This window comes from Homo sapiens, chromosome 5 (genome assembly GCF_000001405.40).
Source record: "Homo sapiens chromosome 5, GRCh38.p14 Primary Assembly".
NCBI classification, from domain to species: Eukaryota; Metazoa; Chordata; class Mammalia; order Primates; family Hominidae; genus Homo; species Homo sapiens.
The window spans coordinates 20823872-20845084 of record NC_000005.10 but is presented as its reverse complement, the minus strand read 5'-3'; the positions used below and the strand labels follow the sequence as shown (position 1 = coordinate 20845084).

The 21213-nt window shown below is 33.2% G+C and overlaps 1 long non-coding RNA gene and 1 pseudogene across 1 annotated transcript in view; one reads left to right on the top strand and one right to left on the bottom strand.

Moving 5' to 3' along the window:
* Positions 1-21213, bottom strand: part of LINC02241 (long intergenic non-protein coding RNA 2241) — a 325854-nt gene that overhangs the window by 92609 nt on the left and 212032 nt on the right. The window lies entirely within an intron of this gene.
* Positions 14138-14919, top strand: LOC100419319 (UBX domain protein 2A pseudogene; annotated as a pseudogene).

The following is a 21213-nucleotide window of genomic DNA, read 5'->3' as shown; positions in this document are numbered from 1 at the left end:
ATACACTATTCAAAGGCAGGCAGAGAGGGAGGAAATAGAGAAAGAATAAATACACCATCAATGAATTAGAGGACAATAATAAGTGACCTAAATATATGCTAAAATTCTTATAATTAAATAGTTGTAGTAATGGCTAAAAGATTTCAAAATTTGAATAAACCCATATACCCATAGGTGCAAGAAATTAAATCAACCACAATAACAATAAATATAAACCCACAAAAAGGCACATTGTAATCAAACTACAAACATCTAGTGGCAAAGATACAATCTTAAGAACACCTAGAGCAAAATACAGAAGACTAATAGAAGAAGAAAATTAGGTTAAACAATAAGTTTATCATCACAAATCCATACATGCCAGAAAAAATGAAATAATAAATTAGTATGCTTTAAGAAAAATAAAGTGAACCAAGGGTTTTAAATACTGAGAAAATGTATTTCTAAAATAAAGAGAAATAAAGAGTTTTTCAGGAAACAAAATAAAAATTTATCATTCATGAACCTGCCTAAAAAAAGTAAAAGTAACTTCCGATGGTGGAATGAAATGATACCTGATGAAAATGAATAAAAAGGCATCAGAAAAATAAATGTATGTGTAGGCATAAAAATAATACTTTTAACCTTGTTTCAGTTATTTTCAAAAGATACTTGATTTTATGAAAAATAATAGCAACAATACCCTTTGAGATTTATGTACAAGTAAAATATTTGACAACAATAATACAAATGGGGAAATTAAAGTGCACTATTGTGCTGCTCATCGATTATAAGTGAAGTAGTATAATAGCATATGAAGGTAGACTGTGATAAATCAAAGATGTATATTTTAAACTACAGGACAATCACTTAAAAGAAGAGTTGAATGAAAATATGTAGATAATAGACCAGGCGTGGTGGCTCACTCCTGTAATCCCAGCACTTTTTGGATCTCCTGAGGTCAGGAGTTTGAGACCAGCATGGTCAACATAATGAAACCCCATCTCTACTAAAAATACAAAAATTAGCCTAGCATGGTGGCGCATGCCTGTAATTCCAGCTACTTGGGAGGCTGAGGCAGGAGAATTGCTTGAACCCGGGAGGCGGAGGTTGCAGTGAGCTTAGATCACACCACTGCACTCCAGCCTGGGCAACAGAGGGAGACTCCATCTCAAGAAAAAAAATATATATATATACAGATACACACACACACACACACACACACACACACACACACACACACACGTACGTAGATAATGAGACAATAGAATACAAAATGGAAAGATACTTTTTTAAATATAGAAGGCATGAAATAAAAAAGAATAAATAAGAAAAGAGAAAACAAACAGCAAGATGGGTAGATTTAAAACCTTATCAAAATTACAAGAAAATGGGAATGATCTAATCACACTAATTAAGATGCATAGAGTATAACATTGGATTATAGAGGAAGACCAAAAATATTAACTTTAGAAAAATTTACATTAAATACAAGACACATAAATTAAAAGTTAAAGGATGTTAAAAAAAAAAAAAGACATACCATGAAAACACTTCTTAAAAAGAAGCCAGAGTGACTATATCAATATCAGAAAAAGGGCAAAAATGTCAACTTTCTTTCATTTTTATTCATCATTTTACATGAGATGCTAGATAGTGCAAGAAAGCTACAGAATTAAAAACAGAGACATTTTAACATCTTTGTTTTGCAAAATTGTGTACCAATAAATAATGAAGAACTATGCAAAAATGCACTACAGTTCATGTCTTTTCCTAGTGTGGTTGTAGGCTAAATGGGAAACATATTTCTATATACCAGTCATAAAGAATTGGAAAATGGAATTTTATAACAGCAAAACAGATGGTAAAAGAACTCAGAATAGTAAAAAAAAATTATAAAAGATGCACATAGTTTGAAGGCCTCAATGAACTGCCTTTAAAAACAATTATAAAGCCATAGTAAACAGTATGGGTTATTGTGAGCATAAGAACAAATATAGTTTCATTGAGCCAGAGGGAAGAGAAGTAGATGCACACATATGAGATCAACTGGGTTTGGACAAAATACACAGCATTTCAAAGGGGGAAAAGAGAATCTCTTTAGCAAATGTCCCTGATATACCTGGAAATCCATTACAATAGAAATCTCTATGCCTTTTGTTCAATTTTGCTGTGAATATAGAAGTTTTCTAAAAAATAAAGTATTGAAAGGGAAAAAAGAGAGAATGTACATTACATGACAGATGATAGATCTAAATATAAAATTAAATACCTAAATTTGCTTTTAAGTTTAATTTGATATTTAGATAGAAATATCAAATTAAACCTAAAAGTAAACTTCTAGAAATAAGCGTTAGTAAAAAATATTTGTGATCATTAGTTAAGCAATAATTTACTGGATAAGGTATACAAGCACAATTCATAAAATAATTTAGAAAGATGGCTGTACATCAAAAATATCATAAAACAATTCAAACATTTTATAAACAAAATGTTTAACATGGAAATAAATATTTGCAAAACTTATACTTTAATAAAGTAATTTAATCCAGACTATATTGTTTGTACAGATCAAAAATAAGCCCACAATCCGATAAACTTAATGTACAACAGTTGTAAACAAGCATTCCACTGAAGAAGACATACACATTGCAAAGAAACACATGAAATGATAGCCAACATAATTTTCATCAGGGAAATGAAAATCAAAAGTATAATGAAAAATTACTACAAATTCTGCCTAATGATTACCATTAAAAAGACTGACAGTACCAAGATTTGGAGAATAAATAGAATAGCTGGAAGTCCCATTGTTGCTAATGGGAATATGACATGATGCAGCTATTTTTGAAAACCAGTTGGAAGTTTCTTACATAGTTGAAAATCCACTTACTATGTTATTCACCAATTCCACTCCTAGGTATTTACTCAAGAGAAATAAAAACATGGGTCTACACCAAGACTTATTGACAGAGTGATTCATAATATTTTCTGTTTCCAAACATGATACAATCCATATCTTCATCAATAGGAGAATGCATAAGACCAATTGTGTTGTAACCTTAAAATCAAAGATTATTTAGCAATAAAAAATAAAGTAATGATGGATGCAATAAATCATGACTCTCAAAATCACCTCAAAATCATCATGAAAAGGGAAAAGACCAGGAACCAAAGGCTATATGACATATTACAATTCTTATGTCAAATTTTAGAAGTGGAAAATAATGGAGACAGAAATCACACCAGTGGTTGCCATGGGAAGGCACTGGGGAGAAAAATGACACAAAGTGGCCATTGTGACTTTGAAGTTTGGTGGAAACACTCTGCACCATGAATTTGGTGCTAGTTACATGAATGTGTACATTCGTCAAAACTTGTCATAATGTGCAACTAAAATTGGTAAAGTTTATTGTTATGTTAACTATACTATAATAAAGCTATTTTTAAATATTTTAACTTTTCTTTAGGTGCAGGGATACATGTGCAGGTTTCTTATGTAAATAAACTCATGACTTGGGGCTTTGCTGCACAGATTATTTTATCCCTCAGGTACTAAACACAGTATCAAGTTGTTTTTTTCCTGAACCTGTAGCTCCTCCCAACCTCCTCCTGCAACTAGGCCCGAGCGTCTGTTGTTTCCTACTTTCTGATCATGGGGTTTCATTATTTAGCTCCCACTTATAAGTGAGAACATGCAGTATTTATTTTTCTGTTCCTGCATTAGTTTGCTAAGGATAATAGCCTACAGTTCCATCCATGTTCCTGCAACAGATATGATCTCATTCTTTTTCATAACTGCATAGTATATAATGGTGTATATCTATCACATTTTCTTTATCCGGTCAACTGTTGATGGGCATTTTGGTTGATTCTATGTTTTTGCTTTTGTGAATACTGCTGCAGTGAACGTATGTGTACATATGACTTTATGGTAGAATGATTTAAATTTCTTTAAGCATATACTTAGTAGTGGGACTACCGGGTCAAAAGGTGTATAGAAACTGCACACAATATATGTTAGCTACTGTAAAATACTCTATGCTTGCATTGTCACACTATTTTTAATTCCAGAGGGGAAAAATATTCTAGGTTTTAATGGAGTAAAATATTATTATTAACTATTGGCAAAATATTTAGAAATAACTATCCATTTTACATGAGTATCCATTGTACATAACTATCCATTGTACATGAGTAGAGTATGAATTAATGAATGCATTTTAAAAACCTGCACATTTGAAGAGGAAATGGGAAGAGTTATTTTTCGAACCAAAGCAATAATACACAAGTCACCCTAAATTCAAGTTAAAAAATCAAATATTTACAAATATGAGATAAAAAAGTACTAAATTATACTATGCAAAATAAATTATGAATCTAAAATAGAAAAATATGAAATTTCATCTAGTTGCAGATATTATAGAACTTTAAGAAATTTAGAGAAAAATTTTCTGAGATTGAAAAGAATTATAAATATGTAATAGAAAATAAAATGACTAAGGAATTATACGAAAAAAAGGAAAAAGAAAAGAAAAACCTGTGAAAGACATGTTAGGAGTTCAAGATATTAAAGTGAGTCCAGTGAGGTGGGTGAGACTTGGGAGCAAGATAGTAGACTTATAAATAAAAGCCTTTGGTATTTGGTGTAAGATAAAAATATATACATAAAATGTGTGTGTGTGTGTGTGTGTGTGTGTGTGTGTGTGTCTGTGTGAGAGAGAGAGGGAGAAAGAGAGAGAGATGGATTTTTAACCTAAAGTGTTTTTCAATAAACTAAGTATTTCTTATTTTATAATACATTTGGTAGATAATTACAACACATGTAATTATATTTTTATTTTCTTTCTCATATCCATCAGAGTGACCAGCATAGCTTGAATGAATGAAAATTTATATCTTGTCTCATTCACTGTAATCATTTAGTCCAATGCTAACTTCTGCCTGTTTCTACATACATATGTATCCTCAAAGCTGAATTCTTAAAATTATATTCTTATATAGACACCAGGTCCCACTACTAAACCAAGGAAATTTACTTCAATTTACAGCAAATCATCTTATTCCCATGAAGTTTTAATGTATGTGCATATTTTTGCTATGTTTTTTTATTGTGTTTTAACTGGAAGTCTCTAAATGAGTTGATAATTGCTTTCCGAACATTTATAAAGCTCATTTGAAATATGTATACTACACTGAAGAGATACACTAAGTAAGGTGCTACAGGCCCCATGCAAGTCCAAAACCCAGCAGGGCAGTTGTTAAATCTTAAAGCTCTGAAATTATCTTCTTTGACTCCATCTCTCACATTCAGGTCCCACTGATGGAAGGAGTGGGCTCCCAAGGCCTTAGGCAGCTCTGCCTCGGTGGCTCTGCAGGGCTTAGCCCCCACGGCTGCTCTCAAGGGCTGGTGTTGATGGCCTGCAGCTTTTACAGGCACATTGTGTAAACTGTTCGTGTATCTACCATTCTGGGGTCAGGAGGACAGTAGCCCTCTTCTCACAGTGCCCCAGTGTGGACTCTGTGTGGGGGCTCCAACCCCACATTTCCCCTCCACACTGACAATTTATTATTGCATTGGCTTAAAAATCAATTTGTTAGAAATAACAATATAAAGTTATTTCAAGATATATCTTCTCAAGAAACTAACATAACTTTGAAATGTTAACTGAGTTCTATATCTAAAAAAGGATGTTACACATTGTTGTGAATTAAATTTTCTCTTCAAAATTATAAATTTAAGTCCTACCCCTGAAATTTGAATAAACATCTATCTTTTATTAGAGCTGAGTTTTTAAAATGAAACAAAACCATTGCATGTTCCACAGTAGAGAATGCAAAAGAAATCATAAAGAAATGACTCCAAAATTTTCTTAAATCCTCTGGGGTCTTATTAAGACTTATATTGGGTACACATCTTTGGAACACTAGCACAGCAGTGTAGTATAATCCCATGGGCATTTGAACAGAAATTTTCTGGATATCAATACATCCTATGAACGTAACCTTATTTGGAAATAATATTTTTTAGATGTAATTGAGTTCAGATGAGGTCATACTGAATTTATGTGGGCCATATCCAATGGCTACTGTCCTCAAAAATGGTAATTTGGACACAGACTCACACAGGAAGAAGGACATGAGATGAGGGAGACAGAGTTCAAGTGACGCAGCTGCAAGCCAAAGAATGCCAATGATTATAGATGACTATCAGAGGCTAGGAGAGACACATGGGACAGATTCTCTTACAGAGCCTCCAGAAGGAAAGAGTCCTACCTTAATTTTGGCTTTTAGCCTCCAGAACTGTAAAAGAATAATTTTTTTGTGTTAAACCACCCAGTTTCTGGTAATTTTTAAAGGTATCTCTAGGAAACTATTACATACACTTATTACAATACTGTTGCCATTATTCAAAACACTTTCGGAGCTTCCCATGGAAACTGCCTCAGGCAGCATTAGGTTCCCAGTCATGTTATGTTAGCAAAGCCTTTATATTTTCATAGTGGAATTGATTTAGTAAATAGCCAAAACTGATATAGTAACTGTATTAGTCTGTTTTCATGCTGCTGATAAAGACATCCTGAAACTGGGAAGAAAAACAGGTTTATTTGGACTTACAGTTCCACATGGCTGAGGAGGCCTCAGAATCATGGCAGGAGGTGAAAGGCACTTCTTACATGGTGGTGGCAAGAGAAAATGAGGAAGAAGCAAAAGTGGAAACCTTGATAAACCAATCAGATCTCATGATATTCATTCACTATCACAAGAACAGCCCAGGAAAGACCCACCCACATAATTCAATCACCTCCCACCGGTTTCCTCACACAACACTTGGGAATTGTGGGAGTTACAATTCAAGGTGAGATTTGGGTGGGGACACAGCTGAACCATATCAGTAACATATACTACTTAAGATACTTCTTTTTTTTCTTTTTCTTTTCTTTTTTTTTTTTTTTTTTTTTGAGACAAAGTTTTGCTCTTGTCGTCCAGGCTGGAGTGCAATGGTGCAATTTTGGCTCACTGCAACCTCTGACTCCTGGGTTCAAGTGATTCTCCTGCCTCAGCCTCCCGAGTTGTTGGGATTACAGGCACCTGCCCCCACGCCCACCTAATTTTTATTATTTTTAGTAGAGATGGGGTTTCACCATGTTTGCCAGGCTGGTCTCAAACTCCCCACCTCAGGTGATCCAGCCACCTCAGTCTCCCAAATTGCTAGGATTACAGGTGTGAACCACTGCACCCAGCCAAGATTCTTCTTTTAAAAAACGTACTGAAAAAAATTTTAATAAGAAAATAAGGAAAGCTAAGACTTATTAGTAGTTTATAATGTGTTCAGCACTTTATATTGCTTTATGTTTGATATTTTATTTAATCTTAATAACCCAGTGCAGTATATACTTCTTTATTGACATTTTACAGACAAGGGCCAGGGAATTGAGAGGTTGAGTATTGTGATGAATAATATACAGCTATACAGAGAGGACATGCTAGTCTCTTTAAAGCAATATTTTTTAAGCATCTACTTTATTCTAGGTAATCTTTTTGGAACCAAAATAGTAGATAACATGAACAAAAATGGGATATAAAAATAAATATGATGTGTATAGTGTTCTTTGCAATGAAAACGAGTGACTTAAAATAGACTCTGATTCACATGAAAAACTTCATTAGAGAAAAAAAAAATCTTAAAATAGTCTTAGCTGAAATTTGGTATAAAAAGCTTTTCCTTGGACAAAAAAATAACTATCTTTTCTTTAGATTTGAATTTTTTTGATGAAACCATTACATGTTCCACTGTAGATAATTCAAGAGAAATTGGACATAAATGACTCCAAGATTTTCTTAAATCTTCTGAGGTCTTATCATGACTTATATTTAATACAAACCTTCAAGGCTCCGACAAAAATGTAGTATAATCACATGGGAATTTTAAAATATTATTTTTCTGCATAAAAATATTGAAATAAATTCCCTGTTGCCATTCTATGTTTTACCCTAAGATAACTCAAATAATTTCAGGAAAATGTACAAATATGTATTATTTCTGAAGTAATAAGACATATATTAGAGCACAGACAATGATTGAATGAAGAATACAATATTTTGAGATTAGACATTATAATACTTTAATCACTCTCTATTCAAGCTTTCAAAAGCCTTGCAAGTAAGAATGTAAAACTAACAAGTTGTAATTACGGAAAAATAAGTGTAAACATTTACAGAGATGAGGGTGCTTACTTATTTAACAAAATGTAACTATAGACCAAGTCTTTAAATACAATTTTTCTTTGCTACCATAAATATTGTATGTAATTGGATGCCATGTTCTAACTATACCAAATGATTAAGGAGTAGTTAAGTCCCAGTCAGATTTTGTACGGCTTTCTCTGCATATAAAGACTTTACTATTGAAGAAGTTTAAGTTGATTGCTCACATGAAGCGATACTCCTTTTTAAGAGCTTTATCTGTTAGTCTTGTATGGTATGATTTGGAGAAAGGGAGACAGACTAAAGTCACGTGGATCAGTTAACAGACAACTAAAATCGAACGGGTGTGAGGTGATGGATGAAGTAGAAAAAAGAAAGGTAAAAGAAGAAATGGTTAGTATATAAATGGAGACTATATCAGAGGTAGAATTTGATATATATGGGTGGTGGCGGGGAGAGGGAGGTGTTCAGAATATATGAAGAACTTTCACAAAGTGATAAATCGCCAACAGAAAAATTTGCAAATGATTCAAATAAGCTCTTCATAAAATATCCAATGGTCACCAAATATATGAAAAGGTGCCTTTATGTCATTTGTCATAAAGTAGAAAATGCAAATTAAAACAGAAATGTGATCTCACCAGAAGAGTAAGTGCAAGTGACAGAGAATTGCATGTGTGTGGAGAACATGGAGCAACTGAAATTCTCATATACTGTTACAGAAAATGCAAACTGGTAAAGTCACCTTAAAAAGATAGTAGTATCTATTAAAGCCAACCTACTTACACCTGTAACCAAGTAGCTTTTCTTCTGTGTATATACTTACCATATATGTTCAACAAAATACAAGAAAAGACCATTCATAGCAATGAACTAATAATAGCTAAAATCTGGAAAGAAGACAAATGTCCATCCACAGTAGCACCAATTAATAAATTGTGATATCTTTATGCAATTGAGCCCTGGGCATCATTGAGAATGAAGAAACTACAACCACATGCAACACTGTAGATATATGCCACATGCAAAATATTGAGCAAATTAAGCGAGACATAAATAGTACCTATTGATGATCTTTTTAACATCAAGTGTAAAAACAGACAAAAATGACTATGATCTTAGATGTGAGGATTGTGATTACTCTTTTATTGGGAGTGGTGGGGGCACCATTGTTATTACCAACAACAAAAGTATATGAGGGAGGCTTTGTGACATCAGGTTGTGTTCTGTTTCTTCTTGTGTGTGCCAGTCACAGGTGTGTTTATATAAGTGTATCACTGGTGTGATTATGAATATGCACTGTTCTGGATTTAGGTTATAAATTTAATAAAAAGTTTGGTATGAAAAATAACCTGATAAATATGTCGAGGAGCTCTGAGAAGCTATAAAGCATATAGTGGGGTGTCTAGAATTGCTAAGCATGGCTTGAAAATATGCATGTCACATTAAAATCCATGAGTAACTTACTGTTACTTCAGCATGTCTAAGAAATAAAAATATAATTATTAGTTTTCCTTGAAAAAGCATTTACAGATTACTATTATTTGAAATAAGCCTCTAGCTGAAAAGATTGTCATTTTTATTATTACAGATAGAACGACTACTTTAGAGATTTGCAAAAGTATTATCAATATTCAAAGTCATCTGTTTATAATTCATTTAGTTAAGCTTTACCTCTGAAAAGTCAATAAAAGGACTTTCTCTTCTTTAGTGTCTTAGTACTCTTTCTTTCTTAATACCTATTTATTGTCCTTTAGTTTGAATGCAAAGTTTAATGATCCATACATTTTAGGCATTTAATTTAATAAAAAAAGAAACGCAGGATCTTAAAAAATGACTAATGACATCTTAAAAATACTCTTAATAAACTAGATTGCCTCATGATGCCATATAACAAATATTAGTGACTCAACAGACACTTCATCCACCAATTCACTTGAAAAAAAATTCATATTAACTGGCTACTCCAGGAGAGAAATGCATGTATCCAAAAGTGTCTTTTTGTGAAGAGGTGATGGTACTAAAGGTGGAGAAGTGAAGAATCTAGGGAGAATATTGTCTTTCACGGTTTTTCAAGTGTACTATGATGATATTTGGATTATCCTGATGCATATGTAACATGAAACACTGTCTCATTTGTAGATTGATTTATTTCACTAATAGTAGTAGTAGTCGTAAAAATTTTCATAGTTTGAAAGGCCTTTGCATGAAAATGAGAAGTATCATAAGTACAATTTTCAACTATCAACCTTGAAAAACTCCATGGTTCTTCAAATTCATGCATTTGAAGAACCCACTTAGAAGATAAGGGGGAAGAAAAGGAATAGAACCCTTTATACATGGTTTTAAGTTGGTCTCATAACATAGACTTTCTTAACAAGCAAAACATGAGTCAAAATATTACACGAATTTGTCAAAGTTATAAATTAAAATCTTTATATTTTCATGGTATACCCATTTCCATCATGTTTTCAAGATGCAACCTCATCTGTGATGGAAGAAACTTTACATTTTTACAACTACACTTTAATAATTGTATTTTTAATTAGCTGTCTGGTTCTTCACATCATTTCATTGATATTAATAACTAAATTACCCATACAAGTATCATAGATGCCCAATAAATAGATATAATAGATATAGGCATACTTGTATGACTATTTGTACAGTATAAAAATGCTTTATCAGAATTATTATAAATAATTCAGTTCTTTCTCTCTACTTTGTAGCTTTTTGGAAATACGTAAGCTGATAAACTTAATTAAAAGTCACATAACTAAGTAAAGGGGTTCCTAACTTACCAAATTCTAAGCTTTTTAGCATGGAACTAAGTCAAACATCCAAATTTTCATGCTTATGAGAGGTAGAATGAGAAAAAATGTGGCTAGAGAAAATATTCATTAGTAAAGTTGCAAAGCAGGAAAATTTTATACATTAACACCTTATATCTTTCGTTCATTAAATTTTAAAAATTTAAAGTGAGATTTCTTTTTTTTGCATTAAATAAAGTAACAAGAAAACTTTGTTACTACCTTAAAAAAATAAGAACAAGCCTAATTATCAACAAAAGAGTAAGATCATAAGAATACATGGTGAAAAAAAAAATCCAACAGATGACAAGTATTTCCAAGAAGAGATGCAATTCATAAAGCATTTTACCTAAGACATAATAATGGGAAATAGATTTTGATAATATAAAATTAATTTGGGCAAAACAGGCTAAATTTTAATGGGCTACTGATCTATTGTGGGAGTAGCATGAGAGTTTAGGATCTCTGAAAGCTCCAGACAAAAGAGAAGATTTCTATCCGGTTGTTATCCCTTTTCCCAGATCAAGTGTTTATGAGTAGGATTGAAAACAGGATAGAAATATCAACTGTAAGGATGCATGACTTGCCAGTATTTGAGGGTGAAGAAGGAAAATCTAACACAGCTTGCCTGTTTACCAAAACCAACATTACTACAAGGCAATAGTTGGCTTCCCATAGTGGTGGGCCTGAAAACTGGCCCCATACTCTTGTCCTGGATGCGATGAGAGGCAGAAGTTCTCTGCTACTGGAGGGGAAAATGGAACCTCATCTGCTCCAGATGCTTCATTTCCATAAGAAAGAATTTATACGTCACTGGGGGAGAGACAAAAATGATCAGTATCCTCAACTGTGCAAACTAATGAAAGGCCAAGGTTGGCTACCACTGGGAAAGAGACAGAAAACCTGCCTGCCCGAGACTCTGCATTGACCCAAGGTGAAAGCTCTCTGCTGCTATGGAAAGTACAGAAAATATACCCATTATAGATTCTTTGAATCTATGGTATTCAGTTGTCTGTTATTAAAGACTGAAAGGAAATCACACTCATTTCTGACATTGCACTGAAATGAGGCAAAGACCTGCCACCCTGGGGCAGTGGTAGGAACACTCTTTGTTCTCAGGACCTTGAACTGAATGGGAAGAAGAAGTTGTTTGCCATGAAAGAGTAGGAGTGCTGAGAGAGGCTAAGGCTTGGCTCAAAGAAACAGGATCTGCACCTGGCTGACTTGGAAGCAGGGAAACTGAAAACCTTTCTTCTCAATGTTAGTCTTACGTTGAGGAAGCAGAAATGCCCTACTGCTGAGAGAGGAGCAAAAGCTCAGAAAGAACTCCTTTTTAGCAAAGTCTTCCTAGGCCTGCTAAAAACTGAAGGCCAGACAGGAAAACACAGAAAGAAATCCTCCAGCATTCCACACCCCATACTAAGCTAAGACAGCTGCAGTCGATCACGAGAGGATTATCAAATCTATGGTGTACTGAATATATAAATAGGATTGAAAACAGAGTAGAAATAGCAATAGCAAGGATGCATGACTTGCCAATATTTGAGGATAAAGAAGGAAAACCTAACACAACTTGCCTATTTACCAAACCCAACATTACTACAAGGCAGTAGTAGTTGGCTGACCATAGTGGAGGGCAGGAAAACCAGCCCCATACTCTAGTCCTGGATGTGATGAGAGACAGAAGTAATTGCAAAGCCTAAACCACGTTCAACCACAAATTAGAATGACTCAACACCTCCACAGTAACAGAAGCAATGTACCTATATCTGGGCATAAATTGTATTTACCTCAGGTTTTCTCTACCTTTACACACAAAGTATATACGACACATTAAAAAACAAGGATACATGACCCATCATCATGAAGGGATAAACAATAGAACCAAGCTAGAAGTTAGAATTATCAGGAACCCAAAAAATAATCAGAGATGAAATTACATACGCTATATCAAAAAGAGTAGAAAGGTGAGCAACATACATGAATTGTTAGGGGATTTTAGAAAATATAAAAATAAACACTGTGAGAGGAGCCCAATAAAGAGAACATAAATTGAGAGAGAGGGAGAGTGAAAAATAGATGAGGAATCACTAAGATTGGCTTACAGCCAGAATAGATACAGCAGTGGAAAGAATTAGTAAACCTGAAGAATCAGTGAACTATATCTATGGCCAAAATAGTTACAGCAGTGGAAATAATTAGTGAACTTGAACTAGTTAACTTGAAGAATTAGTCAACTTGTACTATTAAGTATCTTACCTGGAGCACAAGAGTGGAAATAAAGGAAATGGATTATTTTAAATTCATGGAACTATATTAAAACATTCAAATATACAAGTATTGGAGACCCAGGAAGAGAGGAAAGAAACAGAAAATGGGTCACAATAAATATTTGAAGAGATAAGGGTCAAAAAGTTTACAAATATTTGAAAATGAACAAGCAAATAGATATAAATTCAAAAAAATTTGGAGTACTTGAAGTGTGATAAAAAAAAAAAAAAAGAAAAACACAGCCAGGTATAGCGTAATCAAACCAATGAAAACTAAAAAATAGAAAAATTTGAAGCCAGCTAGAGAAAATTAAGATATGGTATAGATTGATGGTAAGAATAATTGCTGAATTCTCACAGAAACAATGGAAACCAGAAGAAAATAAAATTGTCTTTAGAAACCTAAAGAAAAAGTAAAACTAGAAATATATTTTCTGTGTAAATATATTTCAAAAATAAGAATAAAAATTTTATATCGATCTATATAAAAAGATACAAAATATAGATATGACAGAAAAAATCTGAAATCATCTCTAACAAAATTGTATTATACTACAGTCTTGTAGTAAATGCTAAAGTAAAGCAAATGCTAAAGAAAGTTTTATATTTTTAAACAGAAAAATAAAAATAGAATATATTATTTACTAAATACAAAGAACTTCTAAAAATTCCTGTGTTTAATGCAAACATATCACTACATGTTCTAAATTGAAAACAAAGGGGCTGGTTTCAGGACAGTAGTGCTCCATGTCTAAGGGATCCTGTGAATTGGCCTTGGATCAATGCCAAGCCCATTGAAAGCTGTGGCAGGGCTCCACGGCCCCTGAAGAAATTAATGAGACCATGATATCCAGCGTGAGGCAAACAAGAATGAAAGAAGTAGATGCTTTTGAAAGAATCAAAAAAGAATGGGCTTGGAAAACAGGATCTGACAGCCAACCTATAAGTGATAATCAAAAAATGAGTTGTGAATATTTTATAAATGGCCTTTAGAGGAAGCTCAGAAGATGGGTGCTAGCTGCTTGTCACTCACATAACATGATTGGTAAATGTCAGTATAAAATTATAAGAAGATGAATTATCAATCACTAATGACTTCAGACATTATTCTGATGTTGCAAGTTAGAAATTTCTGAAATCTATTATAATAGAGATTTACTTTTTAAAACTACGGGAGAATTTTTGATAAAGAGAATGTGGATGCTAAAGTTGAAGATAAAAAAATAATGAAGTGTGTTTGTCTATGAAGCCTGTATTCCAGTCCTTCTTAGGAAGAAATCACAGACTGGGAAGTGCCACGTGGAAAATATCTTTAAAGCAAAGAGTAGTGAAGATGAGAATAAAAATGATCTGTCTGTTGTCCCACTAAGCAATCTGGAACCCATCACTGCATTACAGATCTGGCTAGCCAACTGGAAAGGGATCATCCAGAAAGCAAATACTTCTCATAGGCACTTATAGGTATACATTTCTCTAAGCCTTGCTTGGGCTGCATCCCACAAGTTTTGGGTAAAGAACATCAAAAACTTCATTGGAAATTGCCAAGGGTCTCAAAAAACTCTTCCTTTTCCCTGGCACCAGGTCTTATTTTACTTGAATTGCAAGAGGAAACATTCACCCTGGAAGAAGCAGGTTTACACAATACTGTGATCAGAGACTCTAAAGACACAAATATTTTATGTAACTCCCATAGCATTCATTTTAACAAAAGAAGTGAAAAAATTTTAGAGTAAAATGCTTATAAGTAGGTATGCACATCAAAATAGAGTAATAAAATCTCAATTTCACTAGATATTGGTTCAAGTCTTGTTTTACTTTCTCCTTATTGGAGAATTTTAAAAAATTAATACAAATTACAAAAGTAAAATATAACTGGAGATGTATTTCTGAAACTCAATTTACTTATTTCCAAAAGGCTGCTCAGTGAGAAAAAATATATATTTTCAAATACGAATTAGTCAATACAAGTCATGTTATAAAAACTCTATAACTATGCTTTTTGTTCCTTTGCATTTGCTGAGGAGTGTTTTAATTCCAATTATGTGGTCAATTTTAGAATAATGTGATGTGGTGCTGAGAAGAATGTATATTCTGTTGATTTGGGGTGGAGAGTTCTGTAGATGTCTGTTAGGTCCGCTTGGTCCAGAGCTGAGTTCAAGTCCTGGATATCCTTGTTAATTTTCTGTCTTGTTGATCTGTCTAATATCAATTTAGATATGGTGCAAATTAGCATCGTTCATTGAAAAAAGTATCCATTGCCTTTCCAGACACTAGTGGTTTATTAAAAAGTCAGCTGTCTCATGTTTAAAAGATGGCAATAAATTTTAAAAATTCGACATTGCAAGTTAGGCTAAAACATAATTATGTTTTTACCTGAGATACAAGTAAAAGTCTGCAATGGAATCTTTTCCCCATATCGATGTCTTAATGTCACAATGTACTCAATTTTGTTCTGCAATGTCAAGATATACTCAAATATTTATCTGACAGCTGCATCTAAGAGGTATTTTTATTTAAGAATAACATTTTGTAGCTTATTAGAAGGCTAAGATCAAGATGTTGGCAGATTTAACTTCTGAGGATTTTCTCCTTGGCCTGCAAGATGGTTGTCTTCTGAGTGCCCTCACGTGGTCATTTCTCTGGAAGTGACCATTCTAGGTGTTTCTTCACCTTCTTATAAGGACACAATCACATTGAATTAAGGACCAATTCTTATAGCTTCATTTAACCTAATTATCTCTTTAATGGCCTTATCATTTGCAAATACAGTCACATTTAGGCTAGCGTTTCAGCATATAAATTGTGTGTTTGGGGGCAGTTCATAATAAGAGGTTTTATAGCACATGTGGAAGTAAAAATATTCCAAAGGAAAAAAAAAAAAGAAATTGGAAGGTATTTCTCTGAAAGCAAATAATAACAGAACACTTAAATTTTTGTGGAACAGCACACTATTTTAAACACAGAATATTCAAAGGTAAACAACAATATTACCTAACTTAAAGGAAACACAAAGCACAAATACACAAATACACGTGCATGAAATACAAATACAAAGACATGAGGAGATAAAATAAAATAAAAATTTTTGGATCCATCTAAATTAATAAGGGGGAGAACAGTAGATGTACAAACATGACACAAGTCAAAATTAAATAGCAATATATTAGACTTGAAGTCATGCATATCAATAATTTGTATTACATGTAGCTAAACTAAACACTCATTAAAAAGCAGACATTTTCAGTCTGGATAGAAAAGCAATATGTAATCATATGTCATTTACATGAAACACTGTAAATATAAAGATACAAAGAGGTTGAAAGTAATATGATGAACATGTATTTATCATGCCAACACTAACCTGTTGTTAAGGAAAGCTGTTGTTGCTATCCTTAAATAGAAAAAGTTTTATTCAAGAATATAAGAAGGGGCATTTCATAAAGTTAAAGGGGTTGGTTAATCAATAATCCATAGTACTAAATGTGGATTCATCTTAGAGCAAAGCTCCTAAGTACATGATGGAAAAAAAAAAAAGCTAGAAAAAGAATAGGTCAACTGGCAATAAGAGGAACACAGAAAATAAAAATACAATATAAATCAATTAAATAAAAGACAGAAAGAAAATAAGAGAATCAATAAAGTGAAAAGTTTTTTTCAAAAATATTAAAATTTTATGAACTGCTAATTGAATGCTGAAGAAAACAGAAGAAAATACAAATTAGCGATATCAGAAATGAAGAGGGGTCTCCACTACACGTCTCACAAATGTTAACATGATAACTAGTGGATATTTTTAGAACTCAATACCAATAAATTTGAAAAACAAAATGGAATGCAAGAATGACTTAAAAGATGCATAAAACCAATATCCTTCCAATAAGAATGAACAATCTAAATATTCCTATATCTACTTCAAATTTAATTCATAAAGAACTTTTCACAAAATAATCAGTTCTAGAATGCTTTAGTAATGACTGTAGTCAAATACTTAAGAGAGAAAGAATATCAACATTAAATAAGCTTTTTCAGAAAATAGAGGGGCAAGGGCTTCTCAATTCATCGTATGAGACAAATACAAGCCTAATAGCAAAATCAGACGCTGATATTACCCGTCCTAAAAATGAAAATTATGAAATAGTATTTCTTGTGAAAACAGATGCAAAAGTCATTAAAATATTAGCAAATCAAATCTATCAATATGGGAAAATAAAAACACATTAACATACGATGGTTTTACCAGGGACATAAGAATAATGTATCATTCAAAAATGACTGTTTTTATAACATTGATATATTGAGATCTTATTTGATAATTTCAACAGAGTCAGGAGATGCATTTGTCAAAGTATAATATCCATTTACTATTAAATATATTAGCAAAGTATAAATAGAAGGAGACTTCCTCAACCTGATAAAGCACATCTATGAAAAGTCCACAGATCACATCATACTTAAAAATAAAATACTTAATGCTTCTTCCACTTGGATCAAAACAAGATGAGAATACTATTCACATCACTTTTATTCAATTTTATACTGGTGCATTAGTCAGTCCAATAAGATAAGAAAATTAAAGGAATAGTGATTAAAAAGAAAGAAGTAAAACTCCTTCAATTCTGAGAAGGGAAGATTGCATGCATGAAAAAATGAAGGAACTTAACAAGAGTGGTATAACATACAATAAACAAATTTAGAATATTTCAAGATAAAGCCAAATTCAAAAGTAAAAATTAAAAACTGAAATTTAAAATTACTAATTAAAATAGTATCAAAAATCATTATGTATGGAAGTATAAAATTAATTTAAAAGTTAAATACTTTTTACAGTCCAAGCTATAAATTATTGATGACAAAAACCGCAGATTTGCTGTAGACAATGGTTTTGGCTCCCCATATTTCTTATATTGAAATTTTGACATCCAATGTGATAATATTAGGAGGCTGGGTCTTTGGTGCTTAATCAGGTCATGAGGATGGAGCCCTTTGCTACTTCTGCTGTGTGAAGACACAGCAAGAAGTCAGCAGTCTGCAACCTGGAAGAGGGACCTCACCAGAATGCGACCATGCTGGCTTCCTGGTCTCAGACTTATAGCTTCCAGAGCTGTGAAAAATAAATGTCTGTTGTACATAAGCCCCTCAGTCTACGGCACTTCATTATAGCAACCACGATAGAATAAGCCAAGATTTAAATAAATGTAGAACTATACCATATCTATGGATTAAAAGATTTAATGTTACTAATATATCAATTCTGAAATTGATCTATGAATTCAGTGAAATCTCAATTAAAATTTTAGCAAACTTTTGTGTATTAATTGACAAAATTAATTTTAAAATTTATCTGTAAAGGTAGAGATCAATAAAATCAAAATAATCTTGAAAAAATCCACTTGAAAAATGTTACTTTATGATAAAATTACAATCATCATGAAAGTACGGTATTGTCTTAGTAAAGCATAACAGAGAATTGAGTAACAGACGTAATTGAACAAGTTTTAAGAAAGCCTGCAAGGAAATTTGATAAAGAAATAAAAACATCTTCATTAAATTGTGCTGGAAAAAGTAGATATTTGTGTTGAGAAGATGAGAAGAGTGAACAAAAGAAACATAATGACTATCTCACAAAATACACAAACATTAATTTGAAATGAATCAGAGACCTAAATTTAAAACTAAAATAATAAATGTGTCACACAAAAAGATATGGTAATGTATTTCAATCTGTAATAGGCAAAGACTTCTTTGTGCATATGCAGAAAGCATGAATCATAAATAAAAAACTGATACATTGGAATGCTAAAAATGGAAAATGTTTACCTAAAAAGGAAAAGAAACAGGAAAAAAAATATGCAATCCAAAGTCTGGAGAATATTTTCAACACAAACATCTGACAAAGGACTCTATTCGGAGTATATATATATATATATTCTTAAATTCAGTAATATAAGATCAACATTTATATAAAAGAAAAAATATTATAAGGCATGGACATAGAATTCATTAAAGAAGATAATCAAATATATAATAAAGTACATGGAACAATGGTCAACAGTGCTACTTACAAGAGAAATATGAATTAAAACTACAATAAAATATTATCCCACATCCATTAGAATCAGTAAATAAAAATAAGTGTATCAAATTTTGGACAGCAGGTGAAACAGCTTGAATTTTATACATTGCTGGTTTAAAATGGCACAGCCACTTTTGATAATGACAGTAATTTCAGAGAGTTAAACATATGTTATCTTCTGAAATGGTGATACTATGAGTATATATTCAAAATAGAGAAAATATATGTCCACAAAAGACCTGTATAACCCTTGTTCATAGCTTATCAATAATAGCCCTAAAATAGAAACAACTCACCAAGTTGGTATCCACAAAAGAAGCTGTGATGGTTAATATTGAGTGTCAACTTGATTGGATTGAGGGATACAAAGTATTAATCTTGGGTATGTCTGTGTGGGTGCCGTCAAAAGAGATTAACATTTGAGTCAATTAACTGGAGAAGGCAGATCCACCTTTAACCCAGTGGGCACAATCTAATCAGCTGGCAGCAAATATAAAGCAGGCAGGGAAACGCAAAGAGATGAGATGAACCTAGCCTCTCAGCCTACATCTTTCTCCTGTGCTGAATGCTTCCTGCTCTTGAACATTGGATCCAAGTTCTTCAGTTTTGGGACTCAAACTGGCTCTCCTTGCTCCTCAGCTTGCAGATAGCCTATTGTGGGATGTTGTGATCATGTAAGTTAATAGTTAATAAACTCCCATTTATATACATTTATACACACACACACACACACACACACACACACACACACACACACACACAATTAGTCTGTCCCTCTAAGAGAACCCTGACTAATACAGATTTTGGTACTCTTTTGATACTGGGAGTGGTTCTAGAGGAACAGAATATTAAGGATCTACTTTCTTTGCTGGTTTTGAGGTTTCTGGAGTTGGCTGCTTAATATGATTAGTCCCCAAAATGCTAAGGACTCTACCTCTAATAGTATGCAAAACACTGATAGTCCTTGGCAGAAACTGTTTAGAGAGTTATGCAAAATAAATGCATTTGACACTCCTGATTCACTGCTTGTGAGAGGCAAGGAGTTTAGTGACTTTATACATTAATATCTTTGACCATATGTGGAGAACCAAGGAACATAATGAAGGTGGTTGGTTGCTACTACAGTGGACAAAGTGATGAAAGAAAATGGTGAACTCACGGATTCTATCTCCTGGCTTCAGAAGCAGATACTGAGCCCCAAATCTGCTAAGATTGTCCTGAATGAGAGTCTTATCCCCTGTAGAGAAAGAGCTGAAATTGTGAATAAACAGACACAAGCTCTTATCGTGTGAGTAGCTGACCTGCAACGAAAGATTCAGGCACAACTTTGCCAGGTGTCTACTGTTAAAGTGAGGGCATTGATTGGAAAAGAAGGCGACCTTGAAACTTGGAATGGGGACATGTGGGAGGAACATGATGAAACTGGGGACACTGAGTTTGTAAACTCTGTTGAAACTTTTTTGCCAGAAGGAACAGAACAGCTTCCCCATCCCCAGTAGTGGCAACATCTCCTCCCTGACCCATGCTGCCATCAGCATTTTTCACCTTTGTCTGAAGAGATAAACCCTGCACTCCTGAGGCAACAGTGATGGTCTCTCCTGATGGAGTTGCTAGGCAAGATAATGTTGATTCTCCTCAGAAACCACCCACAACACCTCTGTTTGCTTTTAGACCTATAACTAGACTAAAGTCCTGGTGGGCCCCTAGAAGTGAGGTTGAGAGTGTGACCCATGAGGAGGTGTGCTACACTCAGAAAGAACTGTTTGAGTTATCTGTATAAATAGCAATCTGAAGAACAGGCATGGGAATGGATATTGAGGGTATGGGATAGTGATGGAAGAAACATAGAGCTGGATCAGGCTGAGTTTATTGA